This window comes from Homo sapiens, chromosome 4, assembly GCF_000001405.40.
Source record: "Homo sapiens chromosome 4, GRCh38.p14 Primary Assembly".
Taxonomy (NCBI): Eukaryota; Metazoa; Chordata; class Mammalia; order Primates; family Hominidae; genus Homo; species Homo sapiens.
In genome coordinates this window covers 93,747,748-93,763,057 of record NC_000004.12, presented here as the reverse complement: position 1 = coordinate 93,763,057, position 15,310 = coordinate 93,747,748, and the positions used below count along the sequence as shown (strand labels likewise).

Below are 15,310 nucleotides of genomic sequence, written 5' to 3'. Positions count from 1 at the left end.
GCTGCTAAAGTCTGCAAAGGCTATAGGTGCTAAAAGTTGGCTAATGTAGGGCTTATGGGCTCCTCCCTGCTGACTCAGCCTCCTTTGGTTTGTTGGGGTGCTCTACATCCTTCTGAGCCTCTGCCATTTTCTTTATCCAGCCCCTGATGATTCTGTAGCCCTCCAGATGGTATGATGACCTCACCTTGTTATTCACTGTGGAGGGGCCCAAGGCAGGTCCATATGCTCTAACCCCGCATGCGAGGCACAGGAAAGAAAGGGAGGCCTGGGAATGATTATTGAACCTGTGCTTTTTCCTGACCCTGCTGCTCTGCATTCTTAATGATCTGAGGTCTTCTCTGTTGTTAAAGAGCCTGGTGTGCCCTGGGAACTCCCCCAGAGACCCTAAAGGGAAGAGAAGCATTAGGTCTTCTACCCTTGTTGTGCCTTTCAATCTATCTAATGTCTTCTTGCCTTTCTCTTCTCCTGACCTCTGTTAGAATCCTCTGGTCAGAAGAAGTAAGGCTTCCTTTCCTCTCCTGAATATCCTTCTTACACCCTAGGTCTTCAAGCTTCTTGTCCTGTCATAGTGAAAGATAATTATAGCTATGTAACGCCAGAAACTCTATGATACAAGACCTTTTGGTACTTCTTCAATTTGGAAGTATTGAGGCAATTTGGGGGTAGAAATTCGTGAGGATAAAATAACCATTTTAATATTTCAAAAATATTTTATCAGTACCTACTTATGAGTTTTATGTAACCAAAATTAAAAAGATATTTAGGAGAGAGTCCCATTACTCAATACTGTTTAATGTCAGTTATCACTGAGAAAGAAATTTTGAAATTTCTGAAAAAAAGTTATTTTTTTCACACACTGAATAAATCTATTTTGGCTCATAATATCCACATTATTAAATTCATTTTCTGGGTTTTCACAAAATTTTCCTCTCCATGGTTACTGAGAAAGTATTAATAATAGCATGCAGATGATTTTCAGAAAAAACTTTAGCTCAATAGGTTTTTCATTCATTCATCAATTTTTTCATCCTAGCTTTGGAAAACGTAGGTAATCTTGCATCGAAGCAGAAGCACTTCTCAAAGATTAAGATTTAAACAATTAAGCATAGTGGCACTTTGATTGGCATATCTAATATTACAATTTGCATATCAGAGTTGTAAAAATCAATTCTATCAACTTCCTGTGAATCAATCATCAATCGATTATTTTTCTTAAGCAAAATCTCTTAGTGATCAGTTGGTAACATTAAGTGCAACAAATATTTATTGATAGCATCTAATACCTCAGTAATATCAAATAGTGTAAGGGAAACTATTAGGAGCTATTTCCTTTGTTTAAATTGAACTTTTAACTATTTCTTCTAGCTAGTTGAGCCAAATGGCAGTTGCTTAATTTCAATCCACCAAGAGTTTCTATCATATAGGTTAATAGTACTTCATGGTATTTCAAATAAATTCATAACTATCATCTTTTAGACTAGAGGTCAGCAAGCTTTTCTTGTTAAGGGTCAGATAGCCAATATTTTAGACTTTGTGGCCCATATGGTGTCCATCACAACTACTCAACTCTGCCTTTGTAGTGTGAAAGCAGCCGTAGAAAGTAAGTAAACAAGTGGGCTTTATTTGTAAAAACAGGCAAGCTGCCAGAATGACCTTCTGGCTATAGTTTCTGACTTATTTTGGAAACCTCAGAGAAAATAACTCTATAAGCCAATAAGTTCTCATTTCACTGATGAAGATATTGAAGTTGAGGTGGCTTAAGTGATATAGCAAGTCCAATCATTGGAAAGTATGAGTCCGTTTTAGAACCAGAGATGGTGACTCCTATTCCAGTGCTCTTTCAATAGTGTATTAATATGTATTAACATGTAGTAATATCTGTTATGACATGTGCATCTTTAAATGAGTACAGAGTGATCATGTGTTGAGTCCACATTTCACCACGCTGAGAGAGAATTTCACATATGCACTGTATATGAACAATGGCCACATAATCCTTCAAGTGAATTTTGAATTTCTTTGGTTTTCTGATTATATTGTAAAATATATCTGAGCATTTATTCTGAGATTGGAAGTGCCCATGTTCCAAAAGATGACTGCCTCACTTATTCAAGATGAGGTAGTATTTGTCTTCTGAGGGTTGTATTTCCTGAATCATTTTCTAGGCAATGGGAGCTTGAGCCTGAAGTCAAGGCGATATGAGCAGATATTACACTCCTAAAAAAAGAAATTCCAGGGAAGTGATTATGATTTACTAAGAACGGGTAAGACAATGAACTGAGGCAGAAAAGGTTGTGTCTCTTTTAATCAAAGATATGAAAATGGTTTTTAATTATGTGTGACCAGAAGTACTGTAAATTAATTAGTAGTTTTTTAGAATTGGTAAAGAATTACTACACATGCTTAATGAGAATGACAGTGTGTTAGTACTGGACCTGGGAGATGGGATCACATTTAACTCCTGCCGGTGAGGTGAAGTGGTCTGCCCAGCTCCCCACTGCAGGGCTGAATACACAGGCTGGATTTAATTATAAACTCAGTTATTGCTGAAGGCTGCTGCAGAGCAGAGACCTGTTTAAAAAGAGAAGTTTCCTGTGTTGCTTCAAACCTGATATGTTACTTTCAAATTTGAAAAAGGTAATTTGATAAAGTACTTAATCGGTCAGATCTGGTTTATTCACAAAACAATGTCTATGTCCTTATGTAGTTACTAGTGTCTTCCTAAGGCATCCATTCTGTGTATGGGGAAAAAGAAACAACTGTGAACTTTATTCAGAGTACCTATTTTCCAAAAGAATAGCAAAAATAAACACATGCATGATGCTGCAGTTTATAAAGGCCTTTTCAAAACAGTGCATATTATTTGATTTACTTCTTAACCTTGTGAGGGAGGAATGATATTGATTGACTGATTGATCACTTCAAACCCCTCCTCCCTTCGACCCTGTACCTCTTACTCTTGTAACAGCCTTTAGGAAGTCTGATATTACTAATTCTCCTTTTACAGGTGAGGAGATTGAGGCTCAGAGGTGAAGAAAAGTTTCCCAAGGCCACATGGCTGGAAAGTGATACATTCTGCTTTCAAACTCAGGTCTTCTGGCTTCTGTGCTTTTTTTGAATACACCATCAAGATCTTTATTATCTCTAAAGAAAATCTGTATAAATGGAAGCACCTCTTTATTTCCTGCTTCTTTATAAACTGAGAGTCTGCTACTCAAGTCCCTTGGCTAACACGTGTTCCACTGTATCCATTTACAAACATTACACTTTGTATGACACATCTTTATGTCCCCAGAGAGCCACATGAGTATCTCATGAGTTCATTAATCGCTTTGTGATTAAAGGTCAGATGAATTCATTATCATGGGGCACTTAGGGTGCTTTGCCAATGTTATCAGAACAAGGAAGTGTGTTCAAAATAAGGAAGTGGTGTTCTGGAACCTTGTCCTTACTTAATGTAAGTCAACACATTGTGAAGTTTCCAATCTGTGTTGTGTAGGCTCCTGTAGTTATTCCAATTAACTTTTTTCTTAGAGTTTAAACAATTCTCCATAAAAGCTACACAATTAAATAACATTTAACTGTTTTGAAAAGCACATTGTTTAATCTTTAACATTTAGAACAACATTTATGTTCAAATTTTGATGAAATTTTTGTTGGCTCTAAGACCCATCATAATTTATAGACATGTTATTTGGTAGAAAATGAACCTTAAATTTGAAATATATGGTGCCCATTCAAATTGATCTCTCTAGGTTAGAGTCATCTCCTTCAACCATAAGTCTTGCACTGCCTAAGGGGGCAAAATCAGCCCTGTTCGCGGAGAAGCAATTGCTTAAAAAATCAAATTAGCAACATGACGGATCTCAAGACTTTGGTGACTAGTGAACTTTAATTATTATATATTTTATGTGTTTATGCTGGCAGTAAAAGTCAAGCACTCATTACAGAAATGGCAGACATGATCTTTCATAAAATGAGTACTGGGCGGCAAATGAATAGATAATCAGGGTAATGAAAGCAAGCCAGAAAGATGCTAGAGAGCTGAGAAGACCCAGACAATGGCTCCCACTGAGATAGAGGGCATAATTGCAATTGGAAAGAGAACGCTTTTGGTGATCTTTTAAAATGTCAGCTTCATCCTTAAGCTCAGTGTGATATTTGGGTTATAGGGTAAAGGAGAAAAAATATTTCATTCTGCAGTGAGAAACTGGCAACGATCATCTCTGTTTAGAGTCACTCTTCATTTTTCTTATGCAAAACTTTCAAATGCATGTTTATGAAAAGGTGTCATAAAGTCAAACTTATTTTGCTTTGTGTATAGTATATATGTTATGCATTTATGTATATTTTCATATCCTTGAGTCTGACAATTAACCTTTAAAATAAGTGAGATCCTGAGTTGTATGCTATTTGTAAAATGGATAAAGATTGTGATATGCAGCTTTGACATACTCTTAGGAAAGAGAAGATTAAGAAGGATACTTTTTGAAGAGACAAACATTTTCCTTAGCATTTGCACAAATTCTAAACTTCTAAAAAGTTGAATAATAATTTAAATATAAGGAAGGAATTCATTATTCTGAGAACTACTCTAGTAGGCTTTAATAGCGGGAGAATTATTTTATGATGCAAACAACATCTAAGTTAGAGGTTGTACACTGATACATATTTTAAAAAACTCAGAGCATATTTGTATTACAGTTTGTGGATAAATTCAGTGCACATAATAAAAACTCTCAGCCAGGAGTGAGTTAGATCATCAACAATAGTACAACTGTGGGAAAATAACATTACTGTTTTACCCACATTTTCATAGATGGGAAGTCTAAACTATTTTTTTAAATTATATTTTAATTTTTAGATGTATTGTATTTAGCATTATTACAGCTCTGAAATGAAGTGCTTCAATTTTCTTTTTTTAGTAGAGTGTTTAGACAGTAACATAACCTTCTCTTGAGGTGGCCTAGAATCACAGGAGAACAGTTTCTCTTCATTTTAGACATTTTAAAAAGTGAATTCTACCTGCAAACTTCTTTCCATCATGAATCCAAATACGCTATGAGGTTCCTTTTTCTTTTTCTTTCTTTTTCTTTTTTTTGAGACGGAGTCTCGCCCTGTTTCCCAGGCTAGAGTACAATGGTGCGATCTCGGCTCACTGCAACCTCTGTCTCCCGGATTCAAGCAATTCTCCTGCCTCAGCCTTCCAAGTAGCTGGGATTACAGGCACCCACTACTATGCCCAGATAACTTTTGCCTTTTTTAGTAGAGATGGGGTTTCACCACATTGGCCAGGATTGTCTTGAACTCCTGACCTCAGATGATTCACCCGCCTCTGCCTCCCAAAGTGCTGGGATTATAGGCGTGAGCCACTGCAACTGGCTAAGGTTTTATAAATGGAGGAAAAAATCCCAAAACTGTTCCTTGGATGTTAACCTCCAATTCCAGTACTGGATAGTTCCACTGCAGGGTGGTCACATGCCCGGAATGGGGCAGCACAAGAGAAGGCACCGTGCAAAGGTCACCAGACCTTGGTTTTAGAAGGATGGTCAGTTTAGGAACAACATTTTGGAGTAAGTGTTGTCTTAGATGAGAAATTAGGAATTAGTAGAACAGGTGATGGCATGGAGATTGGGAAAAGAGTACTCTAGGTAGAGGAAGCAGTTTGTGCAAAAGTCCAGCAGGAAGAAAGTACAGGCATTCTGAAAAGACGAACGGAGTTCCCTGAGACTGAGCATGAATATGGGGAGAACCAGAACCACGCTGGAGAAGCAAGGCCTGTAAGTTATTTAAGGAGTTGAGACTTGATCTTGAATTTAGTGGTGTTTTTCTTTCTTTTTTTTGGATGTTAGCCTCCTTGAGGGCAGATACTAAACTATGCACTATTAATTTTGTATTTCTAACCTCTGACACATAATATCCTTTAGTAAATATGAGTGAATAAGTGAATGACAAGAGGGCATTCTTTTCTCATGCTTCTGTGAAGAACATCTCTCAGGACTCAGATTCCATCTCCTCTGCAAAAATGTTCCTGAGAACTGCCCATTTAGTATTGAACCATACACTGCCTTGAGACGTCTCTGTTTTCACTCTGAATTATTATTTATATTTGATGCATGTTTTTCTTCTGATGCACTTCTTATATTCTCAATCAGGCTATCAACTCCTTGAGGACAGGAATCTTAAAATATGTATTTCATCCTATTCATTACACCACAAGCATTGTGACTTTCCTTCTGTATTCACTCAATAAATATTTGTTAACTTGATTTGTCATGGACGTAAAAAACAAAAGCACTCAATCTCATGTTATTATGGACTGAATGTTTATGCCCCTCCAAAGTTTATATGATGAAGCGCTAAGCCCCATTGTAATGATATTTTGAGATGGGGCCTTTGGGGGGTAATTAGGGTTAGATGAAGTCAGGAGAATGGGGACCTGATTTGAAGGGACCAGTGCTCTTATCAGAAGAGACACCATCATGTTTGCTCTCTCTTTACATGAAGAAGACGTCCTGTGAGCACACAGCAAGATGGCAGCTTCCCTACAAGCCAAGAGAAGAGGCTTCAGAATGAAATCTACCTTGCTGAAACCTTGCTTGATCTTGGTCCTCTAGCCTCAAGAACTGTGAGAAATAAATTTCCATTGTTTAAGCCACCCAGTCTGTGGCATTTTGTTTGGAAAGCCTGGGCAGACTAAGAAACATAGATTGTGAAATACGCAGCACAGCAGCAATGTCATGATTGCAGAGTGATGGGTGTCACTTAGGGGCCACTTTCCCTTTTAGCACTTTTCCAATTTTGGAATGTTCCTTCTGACTTTCCTCCTTCTCCCTCTGAATCATATCTGGAGTGAAACTAATCTTAGACCCAGAAGCTTTAGAATGTATGCTTCTTCTTCTCCTCGTTAATAAGTAAGATGTTTTTAAAAACTAGGATACATATAAATGTTATATCCTTCTTTTTAAAAATATCACTTCATAATTTGCAAAGCATTTCTATTGTCATTATGGTGTTTCACTTTTTACCACACAGTCAATAAATTAAAACAGGTAAGTACCAAATTTTATTATTTACTTTAGCAAGCAAATTCTTCATATACAAGCTTTCATTAACTTAACTCCTGTGTTGTGAACATAATAAGTTAATAAAGATTAACTATGTAGACAAAAAGCAAGAGAGATTTAAACTACTGAAGAAACTGAATTGTTTTCTAGCACTTCACATATGATAACTTGATGTGGCAAACCTGATCAACTACTTAAACTGATTATGTCATTATTTAACACAAGATCTTCAAAAACTTTGTTCTAAATGGTGATAGCTAGCTTCACTTTAGTTGGTAGAAGCCGATCTTCGTTAAAATTGTAACATCATTAAATGTATAGCATTTTATTTTTAGGTTAATATAAAACATCACCTCTTTGGGCATATGTTAACACTATTTCCTTAGTAGGAATAAGGATTCCTTAAGTACACATGTAAATTTTAAATAGACTACCTGGATTCCTAAGTAGTTTCAGGAATAAATCTGATTAGTAAGCTAGAAGTGTTAGCTATCTTTTTTTAATAAGGCAGCAAACTGAGGTGATCTGACATAAATAGTTATTTATAAAAAATTACATAATGTGATACAAAGTAGCAGTGAGGCTCGTCTAATTCCGTGCAGAAAGGATAATTGATGTGTTACTGCTCTACTTCACAATTTAGTTTTCCCACGCATGGGAGATATGCTGGGAATTAGTCTATTCCATCTTCTTAATGAGACTTATCTATTACTTTAGATAATGTATCTATTTTCTTCAACCAGCAGCACCAACTGCTTATAGGAGTGAAGTTCTCAGCAGTTATTCGAAAGAAAATTTACCAATAGATATAAAAGGAATAGCCTACCTTTCTATGTGTCTATGTGGCTAGACAAATGAAATGGTGTGGATACGTTGCTGTTATGAAAGGGATGTTACTTGCACCATTCCTGTGCAAGTTCATGAGAACTACTTGCTATTTTCCATGATAATGGCAAGAGCTACATGCACAACGTTTACTTACTTGATGATATTATGGGATGCTTCAATAACTCAGAGAAGAGGCTTGATAAAAACTGAATGCCATTCAGTCCTGATAACAATTGTCAGAGGGACCAAGAGGCTGGTCTCTTTATTCAGAAATAGGTCTGGTAATACTGTAAATGTGTATGTACAAAATGCAGGCAGTTGCAAAGCCCTCTATTTCTCCACTTTACCCCAACCCTTGCATAATCAGCTTCTCAAATCTGTTTTAAACCTTTATGAATTAGAAATGAAAGCAACCCAGCTAAGTAGGCATCTGAAATACTTATTATAGGAGCCCTAATGAATAATTGTAGAAGTGCAATTTACCCATGTTTGAATAGCCAGTTATATTTGTCAGCAACTAAATTGCTCAGAGTATTGGTAAATTGTGGTGAATCTTTACCTTGTATATGGTGGTAAGCAATACTGGATACTACACTCTGTCTATTTGTTTCTAGATGAGAACAAAAAGGTATACCGTTTGATAAAAGTATACTGATTTAAAACTCAAGCTATATAGATCACTGCAAATAATGGCATTCCATATATAACAAATGGACATACTGTCATAGAAAGAAGAGTAACGTGAGAACAGATCCACTTTGTAGATATTATTACTCTTATGGTCTTTCTATGAGAGGCTACACTCTATGAGATAATAGTTGATGCATTTTGAAGTAATTTTTCTGTAGTTGTGATGAAAAAAGAGGACTTGTACTGTGACCCAATATTCCCAGTAGTGCCTGAGCTGCAACACACATTACAGAAAATTACAGTCATGTACCTCATAATGACATTTTGGTCACTGACAGACCATATATATAAGAGTGGTCCCATAAGATTATAACACCATCTTTTTACTTTATCTTTTTATGTTTAAATATGTTTACATACATAAATACTTACCATTGTGCTACTATTACCCACAGTCTTCAGTGCAGGTTTGTAGACTAGAAGAAATACACCTATACCATATAACCTGGGTTTCATAGGCTATACCGTCTAGATTTGTGTAAGTACACTCTGCGATGTTCATAAAACAATGAAATCACCTAACAATGCATTTCTCAGAATGTATCCCCATCACTAAGTGATCCATGACTGTATAAAAATTGATTCCAAATTCCTTATGGCATTAAGCACTAAATTACAGCTCAGTGAGTCTTGATGCTGGCCCAAAGGGCTCTCAAGATTCCCCAGGGACTTTCATATATTGGCACTATTCACGATAGCAAAGACTTGGAACCAACCCAAATGTCCATCAATGATAGACTGGATTAAGAAAATGTGGCACATGTACACCATGGAATACTATGCAGCCATAAAAAGGATAAGTTCATGTCCTTTGTAGGGACATGGATGAAGCTGGAAACCGTCATTCTGAGCAAACTATCGCAAGGACAGAAAACCAAACACCGCATGTTCTCACTCATAGGTGGGAACTGAACAATGAAAACACTTGGACACAGGGTGGGGAACATCACACACTGGGGCCTGTCATGGGGTAGGGGGAGGAGGGAGGGATAGCACTAGAAGATATACCTAATACAAATGACGAGTTAATGGGTGCAGCACACCAACATGGCACATGTATAAATAAGTAACAAACCTGCACGTTGGGCACATGTGCCCTAGAACTTAAAGTATAATAATAATAATAAAAAGAATTTTTCTAAGATGCATAACAAGATAAGCTGGTACTGGGGAGAACATCTCAGAGTATGGAAGAAAGAGAAGAGTGGACATTACAACCTAATGTTACTAATCCTAGCCTGAGAACTTTGGGTAGAGTTCTTAAGCTTCTAAATAAATATTTTTTAAACATTTGGATTCCACTTTCTTTTAGCTCTGGGTGAAGGCTGCCTGTAGGCATGTAGATAGGAGGTGTAGCAAACAGCATTCAAGAAGATCATATCTAACAATCTGATGGTAGGGTCAGTTTAGTCTCGGCATCCCTCTGAGAATCAGTGATAACTATTTATTTTCTCTCCCTTCTTGTCCTACCCCCAGGCCATTCTTATCACTTCCACTTATGATAAGTCAGGGTATGATCCATATAGAAAACTAACGGTTCCAAAGACTCCAAAAGCATAACACTGATATACCAGGTGTTGAGTGAGCACAAAATAAATGGACAATATGGATTTTACCTGCAAAACAATGTGCAAGTACACAGATAGATGGAAGGATACACATAATAAATAATTTATGACCAAAGAGAAGTCAAAGAATGATAATGAGGTGTGGATAAGGTTTAGGAAATTTTAAGCAGGGAAAATAATTAAAGGACTGAGATTTTTGGAAAAGGAGAATGTAATAGTTAAGAGTATGAGTATTGGCCAGGCGCGGTGGCTCATGCCTGTAATCCCAGCACTTTGGGAGGCCGAGGTGGGCAGATGATGAGGTCAGGAGATCGCGACCATCCTGGCTAACACAGTGAAACCCTGTCTCTACTAAACGTACAAAATATTAGCCGGGCGTGGTGGCAGGTGCCTGTAGTCCCAGCTACTCAGGAGGCTGAGGCAGGAGAAGGGTGTGAACCCGGGAGGCGGAGCTTGCAGTGAGCCAAGATTGCACCAGGGCACTCCAGCCTGGATGACAGAGCAAGACTGTGTCTCAAAATAAATAAATAAATAAATAAATAAAAGAACAGTATGAGTATTAGTTAGGAAAACGTGGGTGAAATTCTGTTATCATTACTTCCTGACTATGTACTGGCAAGATAACATGATCCCTCTGAGCTTCAGTTTTCCTAATCCCTGGAATGGAATATTTATCTTAAATTGTATTGTATATGCAAAGTGTTCACCACATTATGTGGTATATATTAAGTTCTCCATACCAGGCAGCTATTGTTATAATCATTATAAAGACTAATGTGGTACAGCCACAGTAATACAGTGGAGTCCATTTGCAATAGGTTTTCAGTTTTTCCTTTTAGAACCAAACATTGACATGAACAATGTATAAGTCCAAACACAGTGCTGCCTAAGGTCAAGTGCCCATTCTGATACTCTAGCCAAAAAAAAAAAAAGAATGTTCAGGTGTGCAATGGCCTGAATGTGTCCTCCCCAAAATCATAGCATGCAGTATTGGGAGTATGGGTAAGAAAGCAGGCAGTTGTGGAAAGCCTAGGAAAATAAGGAGGCGGCAAGGAATGACAGCATGAAGCTTTTAGGAGGGCAAGCCGGGTTACAGGCCTTGAGAAGACAGTGGGGACAGCCTCAATTTCAGTATCACCCTTTAGCACATTCTTAACCGTGTTTTCGCTAACCTCTCACTGACCTGGGTTTAGTTTGAGGGACAGAATGTGATTTGGGGTGAGGACACTTTCATTTCAATACAGCTAGCTCACTCTCCAGATCTCCTGTCAAGTTGAGACAGAGGATGCCACGGAAGGCCCTGTCACTGTACAGCAAATTCACAGCTGCACAGGAAGCAACACAGTAAATCATTGTCCTTCTCATGAAGGCTGCAATCAATAATGCCACAGGAGCATTTCCCCCCAAGAACCAGAAACTGCCTGGAACTGTGGGAGACCCATTGCAATACTGAGAATTTGATGTGGAAAAATGAGAGGAATAAAAGAGTTCACTCACCAAGAAGAAAAACAGGTGAAAAGCAACACCAATTAACTTTAATTATAGAGTCTCATTCTCACCCTAGGGGAATTCATATATTCAGATGCCAGCTACAGATCAACAAAGAGCAAATGGATAGATCTGTTGTTATTTATGAGAATCTGACTCCTAGACTTTTCATGAGATCAAATTTGAAATTTTATACTTGGCAAAAGAAACAAGGTTGTTAACAGACATGAAGAATTCACAATAGTTAATGATCCTATTGTCAGTGATATTAAAAATTCACTTTTATTGATAATGTCAGTGCATTTTCATTTATATAAGCTTCTGGGAATTTAAGAAGAATGACCCTAGCCTAGGTATAAACTGGCCTTGGAAATTGCAGTGAGAGATATTGTAGCATAATGGACCCTCAGTTTAATTCACCTCTAGTTATCCCTGTAAAACATGTTACAACTCTTCCAACTTTCTCCACATTTCCCAAACCTTGAACTGTATTTTCACCTGTTTGATTCTTAGCAGAAGATAATATTTCATCCTTATTGAGAAGATCACTGGCTAGGAACTAACTCATCTCTTTTAAGTGACACCACTCTTTCTTCCTTCTATCCTAACTCTTATAAAATGTGTCTCGATGCCTGGTCAAGACCACCTTTTTGTTTTTTTTGAGACGGAGTCTTGTGCTGTCACCCAGTCTGGAGTGTAGTGGCGCGATCCCAGCTCACTGCAAGCTCTGCCTCCCGGGTTCACGCCATTCTCCTGCCTCAGCCTCCCGAGTAGCTGAGACTACAGGGGCCTGCCACCATGCCCTGCTAATTTTTTGTATTTTTAGTAGAGACCGGGTTTCACATGGTCTTGATCTCCTGACCTTGTGATCCACTCACCTTGGCCTCCCAAAGTGCTGGGATTACAGACGTGAGCCACCGCGCCTGGCCAAGACCACCTTTTAACAGAAAGCCTTTTATTTCCAATTGTACGTGACTATTCTAGGGATTTCCTACTGGGTGATCATTGGAATCACTTGAATTTCCTTGGCTACAAGTCAGAGATTCTTATTTACTATTTTTGGGTTGGTGTCTGGGAATCTATATTTTTAAACAGCACTTTCCCAAGGGGATTCTGATACTAAAGCAGGTTTGGAGAAACCACTAATTGATCCATCTTTTGAACTTTCCTTGGAAGTTTTCTTATAATTTTGTGCTTTGTTCCAACACTAAAGTAATGTGTTTTATCTCTTTGAAAGGATTACAAGCTCCTTAGGCCAGGTAATGGTGTCTTATAGATTTTGTGTGTTCTGTAGCACCAACTACAGTTGTTTGCACAGAGGATGCGTTCGATCAATTTGCTGAATAAAAAGCAAAGCTCAAGAAAGGGAACTATATAATGTGTGCTCACCAATGGCAGTAGTAGTCATGATAGTTAACATGTCTCACATTTATTGAGCACCTATCTCTTCACCTGCATTGTTCACTCTGTAGCAATTCAGTTATATAATTCTCGAAATCACCCTGTGAGGTAGTTACTGACTTTATCTCCATTTTTCTATATTTAGAAACTCAGGCATAAGGGAGTGAAGTAATTTGTGTTAGCTTAAACAACCAAAGACTTTTTTGTTTTGTTTTGTTTTTGGCTAAGAGATGGAGAGCAAAAAGCATTGTGAGGGTTTCTTAAAGAATCATTACTTAGCTCTGTAGAGGGGGATGACGCCACTTTGGCAAAAGTGGTCAAAGAAAGTGTCATAGCGGAGGTGGCTATTTGACTAAGGCTTTATGTTTATAACATGTAGAGAGTGGGTGTATGAGCATTTCAGGAGAGGGCATGGTATGAATAGCATGGTGGTAGACTAACAGCCTCGGTTTGCCTCTCTGGTCCTTTGTCAGCTGGAGGAGGCTCAATGCCACTTTCTCCCTCCTGTATATGTTTGAATCAAAGAGTGAAAAAGGGGCAATGAGTGGCAGGCCAGCTCTATGAAGCACAGAAGCTATGATTGTTTTCCTGTCAGTCACTGAACTTTCACTTTCCCCTTGAAGAGTCATCCCAGCAACACTTCTGTCTCCTTCCTCATCAATGCCTTATTTTGTAAACAATCATTTCCCTATATCTTGCAACTTTTATAAACTGTCTTTTAATTCAGTCATTCCTCTAAAAGCCCTTGTGTCATAAAGGAAATGAGGACATTTTGAACAATACCTAAGGGCAAATTTAAACTAACAAAATAAAACAAAACTTACATGTTTTTAAAAATCCCCTAACCTCTGCATATTCTCTCTTCTTCTTTCCCGCACCTCAGCCACCCATGCATGCATTTGCTCACACACAGTGAAGGAGGAATAAAGCAGGGATCCCCACCCCCACCCACTTTTGCTAACTTACTAATGCAATGAAGAAAATCATCAAGACAAAGTCAGTAGTTTGAGCTGAGGCCAAATGATGTGACTGTAGTGGAAGAATACCCCTACCTATGCAATGGTGGCTCTGGTTTGCTTAACATTTATTACTTGGTAGGAGTTCTTGCCAACTACAATGAATTATAAAGATACAATGCATTTGTCACAATGATCTATGTTTTTCTTTGGGCTTGTTCCTTAACATAAAAAAAAAAAGCAAGAAAAGTAATTCAGTACTCCTCCTTGCTTTGTCCCCTTATTGTCCCTGTCAGGCTTCATATCATGCCAGACCTGGCAAGAAGTAGAATGGATCATTTGGCACACATTATTTTTTTGGGGAGCCTAAATTAAAGAAAAGAAAAAAGATCCATAGGGCATTTTGAGGAGAGTACGCATGATATGTTACACACATGCCTTTAAGTAAAATCTTGGTTTCGATTCCTGTAATCACTTAGTGCCTTCAGGCGTTTTTCTTACTAGAAGAAATAGCTCTAGACGCCTGTTCAAAGACAAGTTTCAACTAATTACAACTGGCCTTCCTAAAACTCTCCAAGGAGTCGTCTGAGTGATGCAGAGAGGTTCTTGTTCCAAAATTCTATTATTTCAGTTTGTGGAGTCTTATGAATCTTTCTGAATGAAAAACATTCTATTGATATTACTGTCTACTGGGGTAACTTACCCTTAGAAAAACCAAAGAAATTAACTGTTGGCCATATTTATAATTTATTATAATGTATATATAATTCAGATGGATCATATATATAATTCAGATGGATCATTTGCAAGGTTCTTAGATGATGGCTTACTTGAGATATCGACCCATACAGTGTCTCTCTGTATAATGTCTCAACTTTGTTAGACTTCCAAACAAATACTCTTTTCTGTGAAATTATGGTTAATTTTATAGCTCATTTTTACTTGATAGTATATAAACTATGCTTTGGGTCATAACACTTTTTATACTTATTAATTTTCTAAATGTTTATCGAATTTCCTTAAGTTGTTAGATGTTATATATCCAAGGGCATTTATTAATCTAGAAACCAATATAACCAAATAGTCTTCTTTTTTTGAGTAGAAGACATTTCCTCTGCAAGTTGAAAAATAGTACTTATCTCATGGTGACGATGTGAGAACGAATAAGATGTCATAATTTTTTGAATGTCTTTAAAAGAAATGATTTCAAATAACAGGTAGTATTTAATAAATTTTTGACTTGAAAAATTTCTGTCCACTGGGGGGGAAAACAAATCAACATTGATTTTTCTGTCAAATCAACAATGACAGA

The 15,310-nt window shown here is 37.5% G+C and overlaps 1 protein-coding gene across 15 annotated transcripts in view, besides 2 other annotated features; it reads right to left on the bottom strand.

Moving 5' to 3' along the window:
• The window catches only part of GRID2 (glutamate ionotropic receptor delta type subunit 2), a 1,506,491-nt gene that overhangs the window by 47,399 nt on the left and 1,443,782 nt on the right, over positions 1 to 15,310 (bottom strand). The gene's annotated exons all lie outside the window — the stretch shown is intronic.
• Positions 13,805 to 13,884: an enhancer, noted in NCBI's record as "active region_21728". NCBI's record gives its function as "activates an Ori minimal core promoter by ATAC-STARR-seq in GM12878 lymphoblastoid cells {active_cell/tissue: GM12878}" and the evidence as "EXISTENCE:reporter gene assay evidence [ECO:0000049][PMID:35858748]".
• Positions 14,369 to 14,418: an enhancer, noted in NCBI's record as "active region_21727". NCBI's record gives its function as "activates an Ori minimal core promoter by ATAC-STARR-seq in GM12878 lymphoblastoid cells {active_cell/tissue: GM12878}" and the evidence as "EXISTENCE:reporter gene assay evidence [ECO:0000049][PMID:35858748]".